The 21,215-nt window shown below is 46.0% G+C and overlaps 1 protein-coding gene and 1 pseudogene across 78 annotated transcripts in view, besides 5 other annotated features; one reads left to right on the top strand and one right to left on the bottom strand.

Annotated features, from left to right (window-relative positions):
- MEF2A (myocyte enhancer factor 2A) overlaps positions 1–2,071 on the bottom strand; it is a 151,072-nt gene extending 149,001 nt beyond the window's left edge. For 55 of the 78 annotated variants that reach the window (NM_001400031.1, NM_001400066.1, NM_001400053.1 and 52 more), the window contains exon 1: positions 1,384–1,504. The gene's annotated coding sequence lies outside the window, so the exon portion shown is untranslated. Of the gene's footprint in view, positions 1–888; positions 1,006–1,383; positions 1,505–1,818 lie in introns of those variants that run through there. The other 23 variants (NM_001400030.1, NM_001400034.1, NM_001400054.1 and 20 more) reach the window with 2 other exon arrangements.
- Positions 233–1,206: an enhancer, noted in NCBI's record as "H3K27ac hESC enhancer chr15:100106487-100107460 (GRCh37/hg19 assembly coordinates)". NCBI's record gives its function as "activates a minimal SCP1, AML or CMV promoter by ChIP-STARR-seq in naive H9 embryonic stem cells {active_cell/tissue: H9 hESC(naive)}" and the evidence as "EXISTENCE:reporter gene assay evidence [ECO:0000049][PMID:30033119]".
- Positions 1,004–1,053: a silencer, noted in NCBI's record as "silent region_6871". NCBI's record gives its function as "represses an Ori minimal core promoter by ATAC-STARR-seq in GM12878 lymphoblastoid cells {active_cell/tissue: GM12878}" and the evidence as "EXISTENCE:reporter gene assay evidence [ECO:0000049][PMID:35858748]".
- Positions 1,207–2,182: an enhancer, noted in NCBI's record as "H3K27ac hESC enhancer chr15:100105511-100106486 (GRCh37/hg19 assembly coordinates)". NCBI's record gives its function as "activates a minimal SCP1, AML or CMV promoter by ChIP-STARR-seq in primed H9 embryonic stem cells {active_cell/tissue: H9 hESC(primed)}" and the evidence as "EXISTENCE:reporter gene assay evidence [ECO:0000049][PMID:30033119]".
- Positions 1,207–2,333: a biological region, named in NCBI's record as "H3K27ac hESC enhancer GRCh37_chr15:100105511-100106486".
- Positions 1,894–2,333: a silencer, noted in NCBI's record as "silent region_6870". NCBI's record gives its function as "represses an Ori minimal core promoter by ATAC-STARR-seq in GM12878 lymphoblastoid cells {active_cell/tissue: GM12878}" and the evidence as "EXISTENCE:reporter gene assay evidence [ECO:0000049][PMID:35858748]".
- On the top strand, positions 15,360–16,179 carry RPL7P5 (ribosomal protein L7 pseudogene 5; annotated as a pseudogene).

Raw genomic sequence — 21,215 nt, 5'->3', positions numbered from 1 at the left:
AAGGTAACACAGATTCTAAAACTGACAACTAGAGTACTTAGCAGTTGCCAAAACAACACAGCTGGATTCTTAAAGGGAAAGTACTCTTGGGTAATGTACACCTAATTACAGCTTTAGAGAACCTCCTCTTCATATAGTAATAGATGATACAAGACACATGGGAAACATACTGTGCTAAAAACCCGAAAAAATGTTAAGACAATGTTTGTTTAAAAATACATATGCTATTGTTAACACATCACAGCAGGCCTTTCTAATAGGGCATTTATTGGAATCCCAATCTCACTGTAAACTAAAACGCAGGTTAACACTATGTTATATTCAAGCTACACACGGTTCCCTGCTGGACCATAACAGGAGGCTCGCTTCACAGCTCCGGAATCTATTTCGGATGTGAGCAACAATTCTATAGTTACACTTTTAAAGAAAAACTGTTTTCTTATTCAGGATTGCTCACCTTTTCCAAACTTGTTTGCACTATCTCACTTACTTTAACCCTCACAGCTCAAAGGCATGAAATCGAGCCAAAAAGCAAAGTTTCTAACACAAAAAATATTTTCTGCGAGCTGGGATCTAGCCGGATGGCAGGGGTTCAGCCAGCGGTTCCCTGTGCAGCCCCTCTGTCCCCGCGACGTCTCCCCGCACGATCGGGCGTCCGCAACCGCAGGTGTCCGCCCCAAACACCGACCCCGCCACTGACATCTACACACTCACAGAATTCGTACCTAAGCGTTCCACCCCGTTAGACCAATCTTCTCCCAAAGCAGAAGTGGGGGAACTTCTTCAAGTCCAACAGGGCAGAAGGCCCCCCGCACTTGGGGCTAATCCCTTCGGGGAGACCCCCGGGCTTGGAGGGAAAAGGGGAAGGAAAGGGCCCTCAGAGCGCACCTTCTCCGGGGTCTCCCGAGAACTCCTTCAACTTTCAAGGAGGCGACGTCCACCACCGCCCCCCGGCCCCAAGGGGTGCGCGCCCGGGGAGGCTGCTCGCCACCAGCCCGCGCGACTGAGCTCCCCTCGGCCCGCCCAGCCGAGCCCCATCCAGCCCCACCGGCCCGCCCTCAGGGCACCCCGCCCCCACCTCCCCGGGCGCCTAGCTCCTCAGCGCCGACCCCGACCCGACCACCCCTCGCCGCCTCCCAGCACCCTACCCGCCTCCCAGCACCCTACCCGCCCCGCCAATGCGCGAACGCGACCCTGGCCCCCTCCAAGCCGGACACGGCCTCGTCCAGGGGTCCCCGGAGCCCCCCGGGCGACCCTCTCGGCCGCGCCGTCCCCCGCCCCAGCACCTCCACCCCAACCCCTACTCGGTCCCCTAAGCGAGACGCCGCCCCCCTCCAGCACTACCGGCGTCGCGGACTGAGCCCCGCTGCCCGCGGCCCTCACCGTATCTCCGGAGCAGCTGGCGGGCGCGCACACGCCGCAGCCCGGGCCCGCCACCAGCGCTTCGCGCCGCCCGGAGCCGCCTCTTTCAGCCCGGGACTCGCCGGGACATCCGCGCACGGATCCCCACACCGGGGCTATTTTTAGGAGACAAGCCTCGGCCAGACCGGAACTCGTTCTGTGCTGCGCGTGCGCACTACCTCCGCCGCCTCGGTGTCCCTCCGCAGCCCTGCCTCCCCTCCCTCCTGGGTTCCCTTCCTCGCTTCTCCCCATCAGTTTCTTTTCAGGACTGAATTATCCTCTCGGTGGGTTCTAGAGTAATTGGAATGGGAAAGACAAGGGTAGGGCAAAGAGAGTCACGGTGCTTGGAAGCGGGCGCTATTCCACAAGGACGTGGGGGCGGACTATGTTTTTCCGGGTGGGTGAGGAGACGATCACCTGGCACAGGAAGAAGATGACGGCGGCTTGGCGCCGGGGCCGCGGGTTGGAGCTCGCTTTCCTCTGAAGGACCGTGTTCCCCTGGAAGGGATACTGGTCACTTGATGAGGGCCCGGGCGCCTCCCAGGGCGGGGCGGCCCGGCGGCGTCGCGCCCTGCCGCCCCCGCTCCGCCGCTCAGCCGCCGCCACCTCCCTGACCAGCCCCCGGGAGCCCAGGCCGGGAGCGGCCCGGTGACGCGGCGCGTGGCAAATCGCCGCGCGTGGCCTCCAGGGCAGCCAACCCGGGCGGTGGGGCGGCGCGGCGCGACGGGACTGGGCGGGGCTCCCGGGGCGGGGGCGGGGCGCGAGGCCGGCTGCCGCCCGGAGTCCGGGGCCGGGCGGGTCCTTCGGGACGCCCGGGTCAGCCTCCTCCCTCCCTCCCTCGAGGCGCCCTTGGCCTCCCCGGGTGTCGGCTCGCCACGCCCGCATTGTGGCCAGGGCCGCACCTGTGCTCGCCCCGGGGCACGGGCAGGTCACCCTCAGGAGCAAGCACAAGGGGACTCTGGGACCCGGGCCCGGAGAGAAAGGGACTTGAAGGGGTCTCGAGGGCGAGAAGGCCCTTTCGGACTGGACAGCCGAGCTCCCCAGGTCCCAGGACAGTAGCAACCTCCTTATCGTGACTTAATAGTTTCTAGGATGCCTGGGGCGGTGAACTATGTGATGGACATTTTGCATATGACAGCTTATGTAATACTTACAAGGCCCCATGAAGCAGATTCAGTTTCTATTCCCATTTTACAGATGAGGAAAGGGAAGCTGAGCGCTAAAGTGACCTGTCAGGGTCACAGCTTCAGAGTAGGGCCCTGAGGACTTGAACTCCTGACCACTCTGCATGTTGCCTTTTCTGAGATAGGTGCAAAGGGGATAGGCTTGGGACAGCTGTTGTGTTTTCTGGGGCTACTGATTATGTTTATCGAGGTCTTTAGGAGATGAGCCATTGTTGGCCCTCTCATCCTGAAAGCCGCTCACCTCTGAAGAGTTTTTCGGGGCCACAGTGCCTGCATGTGCCCCCAGAGGTGCCTGTGTAATGGACACGAAGCCAAATGGTTGTTTGCATTTGAAGATGAGAAATTCAATCCCGCAGCACTTAAAACAAAGTGGTTGGGGTGGGTGAGCAGATGAGCAGAGGCTGTGAGTGGAGGAACTGGGAAGTTACAAAGGAAGCCAGAGACTGGCTGGCTTCCTCCCTCAAGGACAACGGGGCAATGTGCTGGGGAGAGCCCAAAACAAAGGCGGCACATAGACAGCAGACGCCAGAAAATAAACCTGGAGCTCTGCTCAGAGCTCCACAACACCAGTGTTCAGGGGAGCCAGCAAAAGGAACTGCAGGGAGGTTTTTAAAACATGTCAAAATGTGGTGTAAATCAGCAAGTCATGTGGAAATGCATGCTTTTTAACCTGCCAGAAGCTGCAGAGCCGGCTGGATTTGGCTCTTCTGCTCCAAGAGGACGAGAAGAGTTTAATACTTATCCTTTAAAACTTAGGGTCTGGAGTGGGGGCACAGTGATCAGTGGCCCTCTCCTTGCCACCTGCTGTCACCCTGGAAGAAGAGGCAATGAAAACAGACTGTTCCAAAAGATGTTTTCACCCTTATTGCTCCACTCCGGCTCCCACCCTTCCAGAAATTGAGCCTCCTGAGGCACAGAAGACTCAGCTCAGACTGCCCAGCCCTTACCCATTCCAATGCTATTGTTACCCTCAAAATGTCAAGCAGAGAACTCAACTATGAGTCCAGCCACAGCAGAAATGAAAAGAGTGTTTGCATCACCTTAAAGAGCACCTCTCTCCCCACCACTCTGCATGTCAAAGCCCTTGTCTGAGAATTGCAGGCAGTGGTAAGAAGGAAGGAAGGAAAGGAAGGAGAGAAGGAAAAGTGGAAGGCTAAGTTTAAGAATTGTGGAGCACAGCTATTAGCAGAGCACAATCACTGTTATTTGTAGTAAAAGCAACCAATTTTAGGAAATTGCCACAGCCTCTGTTTCAGCTGTTGAAAACCTATACCTGAAGTCTAGCGTCTCTAGCAACTTCGAGCGCTCAGAAAGACCCTGTGCCGAGCACTTACGTGTGCCACTGGCTTGGAGGGAACTGAGGAGCAGCATCTGTCAGTCTTTCCCCTCTGGCCTCCTTAAAGGCACTCAGGGGTCCAGATGTTTCTGAGCTGCAGGGACTGTGCACTGGGCCAGGCACTGAGATACAGAGGTGAGAAAGAGCAGCCCTTTCTTCAAAGGGGCTGGCAGGCCGTGGGGAGGATACACCTTAAAACACAACCCATCATGAGGGGTTTCCTAGAGTGCAGGAAGAGCACAGATGATGAGTGTCTAAGGAGGGACAAGAATTAGGGTAGGCTTCTTAGAGGACATAATGCCCACAGTGAATCTGGAAAACCTCCTGGTAGGATGAAAAAAGGGCCCTCACTGTGTCTTGATGAGAAGAATAATGCTCAAGCTGCCTAGAAGCCAAAGGAACCCCTGACGACTTGGCCAGCTTCTCCCTCACCTCTTCTTCCTGACACCCCACTTTCTCCATTCAGAAATTTGAGAAGCTTCTCTGTACACACCAGCCCGTTTCCTCCTGTCTGCAGGGTAAACTCTGCATCAAGTCAATCCATCAAGTCTCCACTTAGGCATCATTTTCTCTAATATGGGGTTTTACTCAACGAATAGTGTATTTCTTTTTGTATGTCTGTTTCCTCCCTTTAGAGAGTGAGCTCCTTGAAGACTAAAACTGTAACTTATTCTTTATTGTATTCACTGTGTCTAGCACAATGCCTGGAATGTCCTAGAAAATCAAATAAATGTTTCTTAAATATTTATGAGCAGACCTTAGGCAGAGGGAGCGCTGTGTGCGGGGACCTCGAGTGTGGCTCTGAGACCCGACAGCTAGCACAGTGTGCCTGGAGTCTGCATTGAGTACTGGGAAGCAGCTAAAAGAGTAGCTGGGAATGAGATGGCGCAGATCATTAACATGTCAAGATCAAGCCATTTGGATTTTATTCTGAACCCCTGACAGATTTTAAGCAGGTGAGGAGCTTGAGCTATTTGGCATTTTAGAAAGACTACTTAGGGAGTAGTGGTTGGTGGGGAGAGCAAGCCTGGAGGCAAAACAACCAGTTAGGAGGTACTGATGTTGTCAGACCCCCTCCCGCCCTCATCTCCAAAGATCTTCACAAAGTTCCCACACATGCTGATGACTTCCTGTGTGTCTGTGTTTGAGAGCATGCTCTAGCTTAGAGGGCTGGTCTTCGTAGATAAATATCCCAGCTTCCTCAAAACTCAGGAAGACATTTCTGAGGCATGCTCCCCCAAGTCTCTTGTGGAGGGATGGGATGTCCCAGTAGATTGGGCACCCATTGACAGCAGTGGTGACCTACCCATTTGCACACTTCTGTTACCTCTTCTCCTTTCCCCTCTCTCACTTCCTGGGATCACCTTCCAAACACTCTACCTTCACCAGAATCTTTGGGAGTCTACTTCTCAGGGGACCTATTTGATGCCGATGCTACCTGAGATAAGAAAGAGGACCTGAATGAAGGCAGTTTCCTGATACAAATGAGAAAGCAGGGGCAAAATAGAAAGCTGTTTAGAAGTCACAACTCACTGGCTTGCTGACCTTTGAACCAGGGCTTAGGGGGGGTCAAGAAATCCCAGTTGTCCCCACCAGGTTTGTTGTTCAGGCTCCTGGGTGGACAGTAGCAGCATTATTTAAGTGGGGAACCCTGGAGGAAGACAAGATGGAAGGAGCTGGGGCTGGACAGAAAGAAATAGGATGAGTTCCGTTATGCTTGTGTTGAATTTGAGATGCCTGTGGGACAATATCTCCTTAGCCTCAGGAGCTGGAGAAAGATACAACTAGATGAGACTGGACATGTTAGCAGGGGACTTCTTGGAGGAGGAAAAAAAAAATTTTTTTTTTTTGAGATGGAGTCTCACTCTGTCCCCAGGCTGGAGTGCATCACGTGATCTTGGCTCACTGCAACCCCTGCCTCCGGGGTTCAAGCAATTCTCCTGCCTCAGCCTCCAGAGTAGCTGGGATTACAGGCACCCGCCACCACGCCCAGCTAATTTTTATATTTTTATTAGAGACAGTGTTTCGCCATGTTGGCCAGGCTGGTCTCGAACTCCTGACATCAGGTGATACGTCTGCCTCGGCCTCCCAGAGTGCTGGGATTACAGGCGTGAGCCACCGTGCCCGGCCAGCAGGAAAAATCTAAGCAGATTTTTGAAGTTGAGGTATATGGGCTGAAGAAAAACGGAAATGACTTATGGAGTAGAAGAATGACCAGAGGGAGGTGGTCAGGGAAAAGAATGGATTCACAGAGGAAAAAAGTCAGTTTACCCGAACCAGGGAAAACTAGAGCAAATAAGTGATTGGGGTAAAATGAGCCTCGAAGGAGTTTTGTGAGCCACTTGAAGACAGGGACTATGCCATGTTCAATCTTCTGTCTCCAATACTTGTACACAAAGTTGATACTTTTTAAGTATGGTGTGACCCAAGCAAAGTATCTAAAAAAAAAATCTAATACGTATTTCTATATATCGATCTTGTATGAGTATAAATAATTAAAAATTGAAGGTTTTTAATCTGTTACCCCAAATTAGTAGTAAATTCTCCCTCCAAATTTAACTTTCTATAAAGACTTGTATCTTGCTGAGAAATGCCACATATAAGAGAACTATGTCTTACTTGTTACATCGAGGATCTAGTGACTTGTAACTATTTCAGAAAATCAAAATTCTACACTATTAATTAAACCTAGAGATAAAAACAGAATCTGCTTTGTTCTGTTCATGGAAAGTTCTTCAGCTTTAAGATCCCTAATGTCTGTGTGCCAGAGAGAGAAAATTGTACACTCGTTTTCTATTGCAAGTTCTACGATAAACACCCAGATCTGTAATAAGTGCCGTTTTACAATAAACTATGGCTAAGGAACTGTGGCTCCTTAGAGAAATGGTTGATTTCAGGACTGGGGCAAGAAAAAAGCAAGATGAACTTATGGTACCAGAAAACAAGGAAGTGCTCAAAAAATGATGGGGGCATGTCAAAGGAATAAAATAAATATCCATGAGCCCGTACTGATACAAATAAATAATTAAGTGAATAAATAAATGGGAGAGATGGTACAGATCTTCCTGACCAAAGAATTCCAACTAAAAAATGTACAAGGAATAAGGACAATGCAAAGCCATCATTAGGCAGACACCACTGTTAATAATTGTCACAGTGGGTGAAAGGATGATGAGAAACAGGACATTTACATAGTCTCAAAGTAGTCTCCTACAAGATATTTATTAATTACAAGGAGAAAAATAGTAACTTTATAGTAGAGAAACCCAGCAGACACCACCTTAAGCAAGTGAACAAGGCTAGCATCATCAGTAACAAAGTATATCAACGTCATGTACCCCACCATATGAAGCAATGAGACGGGCATCTCACTTCTTTGGTATTCTTGCTAAAAATGTATAACCTGAATTTAACCATAAGAAAACATCAGACAAACTGCAATTGCGGAGATATTTTACAAAATAACTGACCAATGCTCGTTAAAAGTGTCCAGACTATGAAAGACAAGAAAAGACTGAGGACCTGTTGCAAACTGGAGGAAATCAAGGAGACCTGATTACTAAAGGCAAAATGGGATTCTGGATTGGATCCTGGTGCAGAAAAGAGACAGAAATGGGAAAACTGGTGAAATTTGAGTAAGGTCTGTATTCTATGAGTATATATAATAGTGTTATATCAATGTTAGTTTCCTGATTTTGATAATCATACTATCCTTATGGAAGAATTCAATGAATTTTCTGCAGCATTTTTAAAACTTTTGGTAAGTCTAACATTATTTCAGGATAAAAAATTAAGTGATAAAATATTTTAGTTATTCTATGCTTTACTCAATTCCCCAATTTTAACCGTCATATGGAGTTAATATATCCAGTATAAAGTATTTTTACGATGCTTTACAATGGTAAATTCAACTTCAGTTTGGGCAATATTAAGACCATTGGAAAATGTTTATAAGTATGAATGTGTTAAGGTGATCAGTGCTCTGAATTGAGGGGGAAAATCACAGAAAATAATAAAATGTTTGCAATTATTACACAAAGCCGTAGGGTTCCATGTCCACCATGTGGCTATTCCGAAACACCAGAAACTGACACATACACATGTATAATGTGGCCCATTACACCCTTTTCAGGTATTGAAAGGGGCGTTTTCACTTTTCTTATTTTAATATCACATGGGCTTTTATTCTTGAATGGCTGATGATGAAAAGGATGAATTCAGGTTCTCAAAGAAGCAGATAAAAGAGCTTTTCTTTGCTCAGTTTATATTCTTGCATGTAGAAGTCCACCTAAAGATTAAACAAACTTTTAAAATATAAGAAATTGAATCTTTGACAGCTGGATGTTTTACACAATTGAACTTCAAATAAGTCTTTCAATTTCTATTATATGTTGTCATTTTGTTATATTGTATTTTTTCTCCTGTACAGAGTTTATTCAGACTTTGTGATTCTCTCCACAACCAACAATATATTCACATGTCAATTACAGGAATTTCAAACCTTGAGTTTATTTTCTTTTCATGTTTTATATTCTATCCAAAGACAGACTGCATTTCACACATCTCCCGATATCCCACCCACTTCGACCCTTGCATATATAACCATCATGATCTCTCTCTACTGTCCTCTTTGCCTGTGTATTTTTGTCTCAACATTTCTTTTAAAGGCTTGACCTCTCCTACCAAGAACCCTTTAGTCACCCCTCAGTAATCTCTTTTGAAATGCATTCCAGGCATTATCAGACTCTACCATGCCTATTAAGATGTCCATTTAGACCAATTCTGGGTCTGGATGTCCCCAAAGATCTTGTACAGAGAGAACGGTCAGTTCTCTGTGATGGCTACAGAGAGAACACAAATCAGTTCCAGATTGCAACTCATGATCTAGCAAGGATTTATATCTGTAAGAATTTTCGAATGTTGAGATTGGAGACAAATCTGGGAGTGACTGAAATGGCAAGACCACATATTTTCGAGTCAAAAGTTCCTTTGTTTAAATCACATCTCCACCATTTCCTACATGTGTTATGTTGGGCACGTTGCTCAACCTCTCCAAACCTCAATTTTCCTCCATATAAAAGATGATGATAAAAGGTTATCATAAAAGATGATAATCTTGAGTAAGATTATCTTACTCAAGGTTATTTAAAGTGCTTCCATAAGCTACATGTACCAACATAAATAATAGTTACATATGTGGTTCATTGATTTCTTCCACAAACTTCTGAGCCCCTGCTGTGAGCCAGGCACTATTCAGGCCCTGGTATTTCCAGGAAGTAATTCCATCGATCTTCCCTGGAAGATCGATGTTCTCATGAAGCTTGTAGTCTTGGGGGTAGACAGACAATAAAAAATGCACCAACAAGAAAATGTCAGATGGTAATAAGAGCTATGATGAAAATAATCATGAGATAGAGTAATTGGGCCAATGCCTTAGCTATGAGTTCAGGAAAGGCTTCTCTGAGGCAATGACATTTAAGCCGAGTGGCCAGATTAAGACCTGGAGAAGAGTATCTCAGGCAGAGGAAATAGCAAAGTTCCCCAGGTGGGACAGAGGTTATTTTGTTGAAAGAACAGAAAGAGCACACGTGCGGCTGGAGCAAGGTTAGGGGGCAGGGGGTGGTTTTTAAACCACTGGAAGGTTGTTGCATTGTTGTTACCTAAGGAGGGTAATCAGGAATAAGTAGTAGATTAAATCGTTAGCAGGGTTAGTACAAACTGCTCCCTTCCTGTTCAAAAGGGACAAGTGACTCTACTTCTGGCTGTCTAGTAGGTCTTTGTTTGTTTGTTTTGTTTTGTTTTGTTTTTTGAGACAAAGTCTCGCTCTGTCCCCTAGGCTGGAGTGCAGTGGCTCCATCTTGGCTCACTGCATCCTCCGCCCCCTGGGTTCAAGCAATTCTCCTGCCTCAGCCTCCTGAGTAGCTGGGATTAGGCGTGCGCCACCACACCCAAATTTTTGTATTTTTAATAGAGACAGTGTTTCACCATGTTGGCCAGGCTGGTCTCGAACTCCTGACCTCAAGTGATCCCCCCACCTCGGCCTCCCAAAGTACTGGGATTATGGGCATGAGCCACTGCACCTGGCCCTGGCTGTCTGTTAGCTTTTCAGCTGCAAGTAACAGGAACCCAAGTCAAACCAACTTAAGCCAAAAAGTAAAAGAGAAAGAATGTATTCATTTGTTTGACTGAAAGGTTCAGGGATATTTACAATCCCAGCATTGCTGGATTAGAAGCTGAAATGACATCATCCATTCAGATCCTGTCCCCCAACACCACCACCACATTCGGTGCCCCTCTGTGTCACCTTCACTCCCATGCAGGCCCTCTTTACAGCTGGTCCTGCAACAACTCTGGGTTTTTTTTTTGTTGTTGTTGTTGTTATTTTTTGTCGGAGTCTCGCTCTGTCACCAGGCTGGAGTGCAGTGGTGCGATCTCAGCTTACTGCAACCTCCAACTCCCAGGTTCCAGTGATTCTCCTGCCTCAGCCTCCCGAGTAGCTGGGACTAGAGGCATGTGCCACCACACCCAGCTAATTTTTGTATTTTTAGTAGAGCCGGGGTTTCACCATGTTGGCCAGGATCGTCTTGATCTCTTGACCCTCATGATCTGCCCACCTCGGCCTCCCAAAGAGCTGGGATTACAGGTGTGAGCCACCACTCCCGGCCTCAACTCTGGTCTTATAGTTTCCAGCTTAACGATCTCCATCAAAAAAGAGCTTTATTTTACATTCTTATTAGCAAAGTCCCAGAGTTGAGCCTGGCCCAGGTCACATGTCTCTCTTAACCAATCACCATGGCCAGGGTGATGGAGTACTCTGATTGGGCATGTCTGAGTGGCTCTCCCACCCCTGGAGTCCTGGAAGGGGATTCAGACTCATCAAAACCTCAGGGGCACATGGACTGAAAGTGAGGGGAGCTATTTTCCCCAAATTGGGATGCTATTACCAGAAGAAGGGAGCCTGTACGTCAGACAGACAAAAAGAAAATCAGTATCACAACAGTTGTTCAGCAAGTGTTGATTGTATGCTTGTATTCAGGCTGTAGTTGGCAGAAATTTGGTCCATATCCTCAAAGATAATCCTGGGCTACTATTGAAGAGATAGAGATAGAGAAGGAAAATTGTCAGTAAGAAATGTAACAGACTATCTTGTAAGGCCTGAAATATCATGTGCTGCTGCCTTGACCGTCTTTGACCCTCATGAGATCCAAAAGGTCTCACCCTGAGTCCCCCTGCTTTCTCTCACCAGATATGGCCCCCACCCAGCAGGAAAGATTCTTCACCCAGCTAGTTCCCCTATCAGCCAGACCAGCTGCACACCATCTGGACCTAAACCTAATAGGTTCCATGTCACTGCCAGCCTGTAAAATTATCAAAACAAGCCAATGACATCCTCCTGCAGGAACCTGGGGACACCTCACCCTCTTGTTACTACAAGGCCTGATTCCCACGGCCCCTGCTGTTTCCCTCTGCCCCGAGTGTAACCCCAATGTGGCTCCACATGGTGCGCGGTATCCTCCTCCCCAAGGCTGTGAGGATATGTGACTAATAGACTGGTGCCAACCTCACCTACCCAGTGTCAAGTGTCTTGTATTTGGCCATCTCATATTAATTAGAGCAAGGGATCCCTCCTTCACCAAGAGAGTAAACAGGAGGTGATCAGAACTACACTCTAATTACTTTCCTGACAGTAGCCAAGAGCCCTTTGCACTGGTCACTTGATTTCAGACTGGACTGGACTATGATAAACCCCAAGAGCTCCTACTGGTAGGCGTGGGGGCCACTGCACACACCAGCAAACTCCTCTATTCTGCTAGTCCCCAGCCTCTCTTCTCAGATCTTCTCTGTTGTGAGGTCAGGCCAGCAGCCGTGGTGTCTTCCTCGTTAGTACCTTCCCCAGAGTCTAGCTAAGGACCTGACACATAGTAGGCTTCCAATATATGAGTCCTGAGTGAAAGAATAGATCTTTGTCTTCAATCAGGCAACTGCAAAGTGTGGAACACTCTGGTCTGATTCAAAAACTTGTTTTAAGTTAAGAGCCAAAGTGACCAACCCAGAAAATTGGGGAATGGAAAATCTATTTCACTGTGGGCTTCACAGATGAAGTACATACTGGAGGTCAGAAATTATGACTTTCAGTGTTCACATTAGCAAAGTATTGAAGCAGCTTTTTTTTCTCTTTTAATGAGGATTCATTTTATGCTTACATTTTCAATAAGGTCCCTGTTTTTGTCAGAAATTTCAACCTCTTCTGGGTAATTGCACAACTTCTGGCTTCACTTGGCCTGCATAGCCTTGGCATGACTGATTTTTTTGGGTACATGCTGTAGGCAAGATTTTTATGAGGTTTGATTCTTGTCTTGACTTTATTTGATCATGTATATCTGTAATTCAGCACGTAGATGAAAGCAGACAGCACCTCTCAGCACCATGATGGTGAACGCCACAGAAAATGATAAAAGTATTTATCACATATGGATCTACAGGAATGCAAAAAGCCTTTCCAGAAATCACGCTCTGGCATGTCGTGTGAATTAAGCACACAGTTTCAAGGGGCTGGGTCTCTCGTTGAGAATCATTTGCAATTTCCAGCAGCTTAGATAAGTTGGATTTGGCCTAACCTAGAAAAAGAAAAAAGAAACTGAAGTGCTTTATCAGAATTCTTCTCCAGAATTCTCTGTCCTGGGCTTTGGATCTCTATGAGGGTACATTTTTGAGCAACTTCCCTTTAGACTACCTGTTCTAGAACTGAACACAGAGGCAGAGCTGTGACAGAAAAACCCCATTTTTCACCTTTCAGATTAAAAAACATGAAAAGGTTTGTTAACATGCTGAGTTGGCAAGGGCGTATAGAAACAGGCATTCTCATACATTGTTAGCAAGAGTGAATATTGGTGCATTCTCCTCGGAAAGCAATTTAGTTAATATCTATCACAATGTCAAATGTGCTTAGCCTTGACCCAGCAATTCCACATCTAAGAATTGTCCTTTGCAGAATATATTCCTTGCGGAATTGTTTATAGTACAAAATAATTCAAAAAAGGAATAAATACCTATCAAAGTGAGACTGGGTAAATAATTTATAGTACAACCATATAAGAGAATACTATTTACCTACTATAAATATATGACACAAATACATGTGCATATGTGTGCGTGTGCTCCTAGACCAGTGGTTTTTAACAAGAGAGACATCTGATAACGTTTGGAGACAACTGTGGGTGAGGTGGGGAGTGGGTGCTACAGGCATCTAGTCGGTAGAGGCCAGAGACACTGCTAAGCATCCTCCAATGCACAGAACAGCACTTCCCCATGGACAACAAAGAACCATCCAGCACAACATGTCAACAGTGCCAAGGATGAAAAATCCTTCTTCTAGACAAATCTCTTCCTCCAAGAAGGGAAACTGGAAGACCCTTTTGGCTTGGTGGGCACGTGTTTATATTCCACATTTTCTGTTAAAGAGTAAATGCTAACCAGTTTTCCAATGTGCATTCTCAGGCTGTCTCAGGCTGGGTATGAGACAGCAGCAGGTTTCACAACAGCCATTCCTTCATCTTCTTTTGCCTTGATCCCCTCCTTGCTTAGACAAAATGGCAGATGCAGTGAGTGAGCTTGAGGTTGAGACAAACTGCTTGGAATTCACAAGTTCCTGGGCCATTTCTGGTCACCCAGGGACAGAAACATCACTGATAGGTTGGGTGTTGACTTTAAAAGTAAAGAAAAGTGGGTAGCTTTCTTTGACTGTTTGCCTCTGCTCACGTTGACTCTAGAACTCGGAGATGTAGAAAAAGGCAAATCACTCTTTCTCTTCCTCTCAGGATAGTTAACCTCAGGGCTACAGCTCTCTGATGGCCAGAATGTGCAGTTTTTACTATTCAAATCATATATATTAGTTCTTGAGATATTTTAAACACCAACTCAAATTTAGCATATAAAAATTTACCCACAAAAATTTGCCGAGATAGGGCTGCAAGGATATTGGTTGCAGCATTGTTCATAATGGCAAGAATCTGAAAACTTTTAAAAGTCCAGGAGAAAACTGTCATATAAACTACATCATAGTCACGCTATAGAATATTCTGCTGCTGTTAAAAAACGAGGTGAGTCCATATGTGTTGATATGGAATAATCTCTAAGACACATTCCTTGAAAAAAGCAAGTTGGAGAACACTAAGAATGATAGGCTTCTTTCTATGTAAATTACAATTATCTATCTGTATATGTCTTTGTCTGTATCTGTCAGTCTATGTACATATATATATATTAAATTGCATCTTCACATAGACATTTCACTTTCTGAAAGGAATAATAGTCACTTACATCATTGCTATGGGGAAAGGAGCTGAGGGCAGGGTAAATGTGAGTGTCCCAGGCAGCTTTCTCCTAGCATTTCATACTCTCATGTGCTGTTCAAACATTCTAACCATGTACATATGCATGCACTTTAAAAAATTTTTGACAGATGTCATCAGGGTGGTAAGAGTATGGATTATTTGAAATATTTTTCTTTATATTCCTTTTTACTTATACAAATGCAAACATATGAATGTTATAAAAGAAAATTTAGAAAACATCAGAATGTAAAAAAGGCTATGTAAAAGACGAAGGAATTAAAGAGACAATTAAACACTTTTCTTTAAAGTTATAGCGAAATTTATTTACAGTAAAAATGGCACATGGAGGAGCCCTCAAGTATGAGCAATGCCATTGAATAAGTATAATCGGGGCCAGGGAATGGTGGCTCACACCTGTAATCCCAGCACTTTGTGAGGCTGAGGTGGGTGGATCATGAGGTCAGGAATTCGAGATCAGCCTGACCAACATGGTGAAACCCTGTCCCCACTAAAAATACAAAAATTAGTCGGTCATGGTGGTGCACACCTGTAATCCCAGCTACTCGGGAGGCTGAGGCAGGAGAATCACTTGAACCCGGGAAGCAGAGGTTGCATTGAGCCGAGATTGTACCACTGCACTCCAGCCTGGACAACAGAGCGAGACTCCATCTCAAAAAAAAAAAAAAAAAAAAAAAAGTATGAGTGGAACATGTCTTGTTATTATCATCATTATTATTATTATTATGGTTACTATTATCCTTTAATCTGTTAGTATTTTTGAATGTCTACAATAAGCAAAAAACATTTGCGGTTAATTTGATGAAGGAAATAAAGATGATTCAGACATGGACACAGGTATAGACTCCTTGAGGTACCTGCCAGCTGAGGGGATGAGTTTGCACTGAATTCTGCCTGTAAGCTAGCTAACCAGGGCCAAAAACTTGGGTAACATCCAAGAAAGGATCAGGGCATGAACTGGACCAGTGCTTTGAGTACCGATTGCCACAAAAAATCTCTTTCATGTGGATGGACCAGGGCCTGAAATCTCCACCATTACAGTGAGTCCTAGAGATGACAACAGAGGCTGTTTTAAAACAAAATGCACTCTTGTCCACTGGAACCCTGGAGGTATCAAAGAGAAGAAGGTTCCTGCTGTGCCCAAACCCTTAAGAAAAAGCAAAGGAATTTTGCAGAGCTGAACATCGAGCACCTGAGAAAGAATTTTGCCTAAAAGATGCTTTGAAAGGCAAGGAGGAAGCTTATCTACGAAAAAACGAAGCATTGTCACAGGAAATACAGACATATATACAGAACTGAAATTCAAATGGCTTGGATGGCAAGAAAAGCTGACAACTTCTAAGTACCTGCAGAACCCAAATTGGCGTTTGTCATCAGGAACAGAGGTATCAATGATGTGAGCCCAAAGGTCTGAAAGGTGTTGTAGCTTCTTTGCCTTTGTCAAATCTTCAGTGGAATCTTTGTTAAGCACAACAAGACTTCAATTAACATGTTGAGGATCGTAGAACCACATATTGCATGGGGGTAACCAAGCCTGAAGTCAGTAAAAATCTACAAGCCTGGTTATGGCAAAATCAGTAAGAAGCGAATTGCCTTGGCAGATAACACGTTGATTGCTCGATCTCTTGGTAAATATGGCATCGCCTGCATGGAGGATCTGATTCATGAGATCTATACTGTTGGAAAACACTTAAAAGAAGCTAATAACTTCCTGCGGCTCTTCAAATTATCCTCTCCATGAGGTAAAATGAAGAAAAAGACCACCTATTTTGTAGAAGGTGGAGATGCTGGCAACAGGGAAGACCGGATCAATAGGCTTCTTAGGAGAATGAACTAAGGTGTCTACCAGGATTTTTTCTAATCTGGTCAATTAATAAACAGTGCCTGCTTTTAAATTGAAAAAAATAAAATAAAACAAAATGCTCATGATTAAAATGCAGGTGAGCAGGTACTTATTTCTGAAGCCATACAACCCAATGTCTCAATGTGACACTTTTATTCCTCCTGATAGAAGCAGATAATGTAAATCTCAGCCAACTGGCGGCAAAGTGGGTTATTTCAAATTGAATCCCATCTAATTCAAGAATCTGGCTGGATGTGGTGGCTCATACCTGTAATCCCTGCACTTTGGGAGGCCAAGGCGGGCAGATCACTTGAGGTCAGGAGTTCAAGACCAGCCTGGCCAACATGGTGAAACGCCGTCTCCAGTAAAAATACAAAAATTAGCTGGGCATGGTGGCGGGTGCCTGTAATCCCAGCTACTCAGGGGGTTGAGGCATGTGAATCGCTCGAATCCTGGGAGGCAGAGGTTGCAGTGAGCCAAGATCATGCCACTGCACTTTAGCCTGGGGACAGAGTGAGACTCTTTCTCCAAGAAAAACAAAACAAAAGAAAACAAAAAGACTCTCTGCCTTTTTAGTCTGCTCCTGAGCTGTACTGGAGTGGAGGGAGGGAGGTGCTGGTTCACGGTCATTCTCTGTAACCAATTGGCATCCCCTGAGATCTCCAGTCCGCTCTGGATCTTAAGCACAGCCACTTCCTTGTTGGTGTCTGCTATGGCTTGGATGCAGTGTTCCCTTACTCAGCTATAAGGCTCCTATAAGTGCCCTATTCATCATAAAATGGCTGTGAAACCCCACTGGACAAAGATCCTTGAATCTGGTTCCGTTGGTATTCATCCTAGTTTTGTAGTTCTCCACTTTGCGCATTGGAATCAACTGGGGAGCTTTAAAAAATGTCTGGGCCTCACTCTTTCCCCTGGTCTTCGGATTTGATTGGTCTTCTGGGCGGTCTGGGCCTCAGGGTTTTCTAAGGGTCCTCAGGTGATTTAACGTGCAGCCATGGTTGCGAACCACTGCCCTAGTTTCTCTAGGTGAGCCACTCAGCTCTCTGAGGTTTCAGTGGAAGATATGGGCCCCCATGTGGCCCTCTGACTCATCAGTTTCCACTCCTTCTTCACCCTCTGACATGACCTGTCACTGTACTAGTTGGGGCAGACATGGCTTTAGTAACAAATGTACCAAAATGTGTAATGGCGCAAGATAAGAGGAATTAATTTCTAGCTCACATAATCTAGCTCACAGGTGTCAGGGTAAGTTGAATATGAGTGTGGTGGTGGAGTGGTCTCACACAGGCCCCAGCAACACAAACTGACTGCAACTGTGCCGTCTTCAACAGCAGCTTCTATGGTTCCCCCAGAGGTCACCAAAACAGCTCAACGGGGACAAGAGCATGGAAAGACACATCTGGAAGGTTTTAATGGGCCAAGCTTAGGAGCGGCCCTCAAGACTTCTGTTCCCATTCCACTGGTTAGAACCAGTCCCAGGGCCACACCTGCCTGCAAGAAAATCAGGGAAATGTAGGAAGGAAGGAGAGGAAAATGGATTTGGATGAATGCATTGCCGTCTCCACCACAATCGCTGTAGTTGCACCTGACGAGTAGCCTCAATTCTCTTGGCCCTCTCTCTGCCTTCAAAATCATGAGCTGGTAACACTGCAACATTGTGATGAACTCTTCACCTGCCCTCTTGAGGACTGCACCTAAGTAGCTGAACATGGCTGGACACAGTTCGGCGTTTAATTCATGATTTTAAACCTTAAGTGGGGCCAGATACAGTGGCTCATGCCTGTAATCTGTAATCCCAGCACTTTGGGAGGCCAAAGCAGGCAGATCACTTGAGGTCAGGAGTTCGAGACCACCTTGGCAAACATGGTGAAACCCCATCTCTACTAAAAATACAAGAATTAGCCAGTGTGGTGGTGAACACCTGTAATTTCAGCTACTCAGGAGGCTGAGGTGAGAGAATTGCTTGAACCCAGGAGGCGGAGGTTGCAGTGAGCTGAGATTGCACCACTGCAATCCAGCCTGGGCGACAGATCAAGTCTCTGTCTCAAAAAAAAAAAAAAAAAAAGGAAAGGAAAAAAAATCTTAAATGGGCACCCAATGCCTGAGGCAATCTGACTACATTTCCTTGATAAGCTTGCTCCCCTCTTGCTCAGTGTGACCATTTTATACCTCAGCCTCTTCTCAGTCTTAATATGTTCAAATCTGAACTTGACTTTACCTCTTAAACCAACCGTGACTCTCCTCCCCAGGTTTCCACATCTCAGGAAGCAGCACACTATTCAGCCAGTTGTTCAATCTGCAAACGCAGCCATTATCCTGATTCTTCCCTTTCTCTTCCCTACGTCTAACCCGTGGGCAAGTCTCATCAGTTTCACCTCTGAAATACATCCAGATTCTACCTTCTTTTTCCCGTCTTCTCTTCCACTGCTCTAGGCCAGGTCACCACTGTCTCTCGCCTGGACTGCTTACTCTTGGCCCGTGTCCCTTATTCCTATTCCCCATCGATAGCCATGGGATATTGCTGAAACACGAGCACCATCACCTCACTCCCCCGCCCAATCCCCTAACATGGCTTTCACTGCATTTTGTAAAAACCCCAGGCTGCTGATGGTGGCTTCCTACATGGTACCCGCTGCATGGTCCCGCCCCTCCCGTCCCATCCAGCCCCACTCTCCCTCCCTTTGCCATCGGGCCCCTCTACCTCTCCAATCCTCGAGTTTCATTCCTTTCTCAAGGCCTGTGCGTTTGCTGTTCTCTTTGACTAGAATGCTTTTCTCCTGGCTTTTCGGGGCCACTCCTAAACATCTTTCAGGTCTCAGTGTGGACAGGACTTCCCCTGTTCACACTTCCAAACAGGTCCTCCCCATCCCTTATCCTTTCACTCTGCTTCCTTTGCAGCACTCATTACTACCTGCAATTCATTAGTCGTGTGTGCTTGTTTGTTTGTTGTTTCACCCCACCAGATTCTTAGCTACACGAGGGTAGAGCTGTGTCTGCTTTGTTAGTGGCTGGCTCCAGTGTCTGATATTGGTTGAATGCAATATAGGTTCGTGAATGCAATGCAGTGAATGAATACGATAGGTCAATGGTTCCTAGCATCCATCTATCCATCTGTCTATCTATCATCTATCTCAAGGAACTCCTAAGAACCTGATGAAAGGCCTTCGGACCTTTTCCACTGAAATGCACAGAAAACACTGCATTTAGTTTCACATTATCTCTGGGCCTCCAGAATCCCATTCGCTCTGAAATTAGATTAATAATTCTGGAACTAAATAGTACTTTTAGCTCTAAAATTCTTTTATTTATTTATTTATTTTGAGACAGAATCTTGCTCTGTCACCCAGGCTGGAGTGCAGTAGTGTGATCTTAGCTCATTGCAACCTCCCTCTCCTGGGTTCAAGCGTTTCTCCTGCCTCAGCCTCCTGAGTAGCTGGGATTACAGGCATACACCACTACACATGGCTAATTTTTGTATTTTTAGTACAGACAGGGTTTCACCATGTTGGTCAGGCTGGTCTCAAACTCCTGACCTCAAGTGATCTGCTTGCCTCAGCCTCCCAAAATGCTGAGAGTTCAGGCACGAGCCACCACGCCCTGCCCTAAAATTCTTATGGTATCACATATCAACTATTCTGCTACCAATAAAAGTACCAATAAAGAAAACAATAAAGCCTTAATAAGACGGCATCCAGGAAAGGTAATTTTTTATGGGATAATGAAAAGAAGCAGGAAATACCAGGAGAATAGGCTATTGCCTTCAAAAAACAGCTGGAGAAAGACACACCCAAATGAGACCCCAGAGAATCCAAAAACCACCTTGGAAGGTGTGAGCTCCTAAAGCAATCTAGGAATGCCTGAGTGGACGCCTTGGAGCCAGGTTCCAGGCCAGGAGACAGCCGCCCACCCCCAAATTACCTAATGCACGGCTCGGCTGAGACAGAAAGATCATCTGCAAGGCAATTGGTGTGAGTCCCCTGAAGGGCTCACACCCCAGAGATGTTGGAGCAGAACTCATATTTTGTTATCTTGGCAGCTGTGGCTGATGGGAGATGGGGGACAATAGGACCAGCTCATCAAGGGCCACTTCCAAGGTGGCAGTTGTGAAAGTGCTAGCATAAATCTCCCCTTGTTTGAATTTCCTTAGTACTCCCAGATACCTATGTGCTGGAGATACATGTTTCTGTCGTTTCAGGCAGCAGGGTTCATGCAATTCTCATGAAACTACTGCAGGCCTTGCACAGGGAGCTCCCCAAGAAATGCTTATCAAGGCAATGATCAGATCTTGTGCGGCTGCCAGGGCATTCACAAGCCCTAGAGGTGTCTCTATAGGGGCTGGAGGTAATGGCTGAATCAGAAGAGCCACTCCAGGGAGACAGAAATCCTTGTTGCAGAAGAAGCTTTAGGACCTGGGCAACTCATCACGTCTAATGTCAGGTGACATGCAACAGCCCAGTCTTTGGTCCAACAGGTGCTAGAGCACCTGTCAGCATAGCCGCTACAAACTCCTGGGTAAGTCACAAAAAAGAACCCAGGGCCAGCTATCCAAAGGGCAAGAAAGGATTTGGATAACCACAGGGGCCTCACCTATAGGTCACAGCTGTCCCTGGCCTCAGGCAAGCAGGCCAGCAGCCACTAGCAGGTGCCACCCATAAATGCTGTAGACCAGAAGTGGATACCTTGATCATTCAGCTGTCGGACATTCCATGCAGCATATGTTGTGGGTTGTGTGGTAGATGATGCCAGTGCTTAAAATTTTGAGATGAGTTGGTAGATGGGCTATGGTCCAGTAGTTATTTCTACAGAAAGTGGGTTTATGTACAAGGCAGAAACTTTACTGAGTGTGAATAGGACTCCTTTACCCCACCAAATCCCCCTTGAATGGACATTTCTTTGTTTCAAGAAGCTTTTTTCTTTGCTTGCTAAAGACATGTTTAAAAAACTGATCATCAGGATTGTATATTATTTCAACTTTTAATTAATAGTTTAAATAATTAAATTGGGACTCTATATCGCTTAATAGATGCATTTAGAGTAAAAGTCAGATGGCAAATATTAACTTCAAGAGAGAGAAATTCCCTGAGAGGAAAGAGGAA

Source organism: Homo sapiens, chromosome 15 (assembly GCF_000001405.40).
Source record: "Homo sapiens chromosome 15, GRCh38.p14 Primary Assembly".
Lineage (NCBI taxonomy): Eukaryota > Metazoa > Chordata > Mammalia > Primates > Hominidae > Homo > Homo sapiens.
Note: the sequence above shows the minus strand (reverse complement) of the source record. Positions and strands in the feature narration are given on the sequence as shown.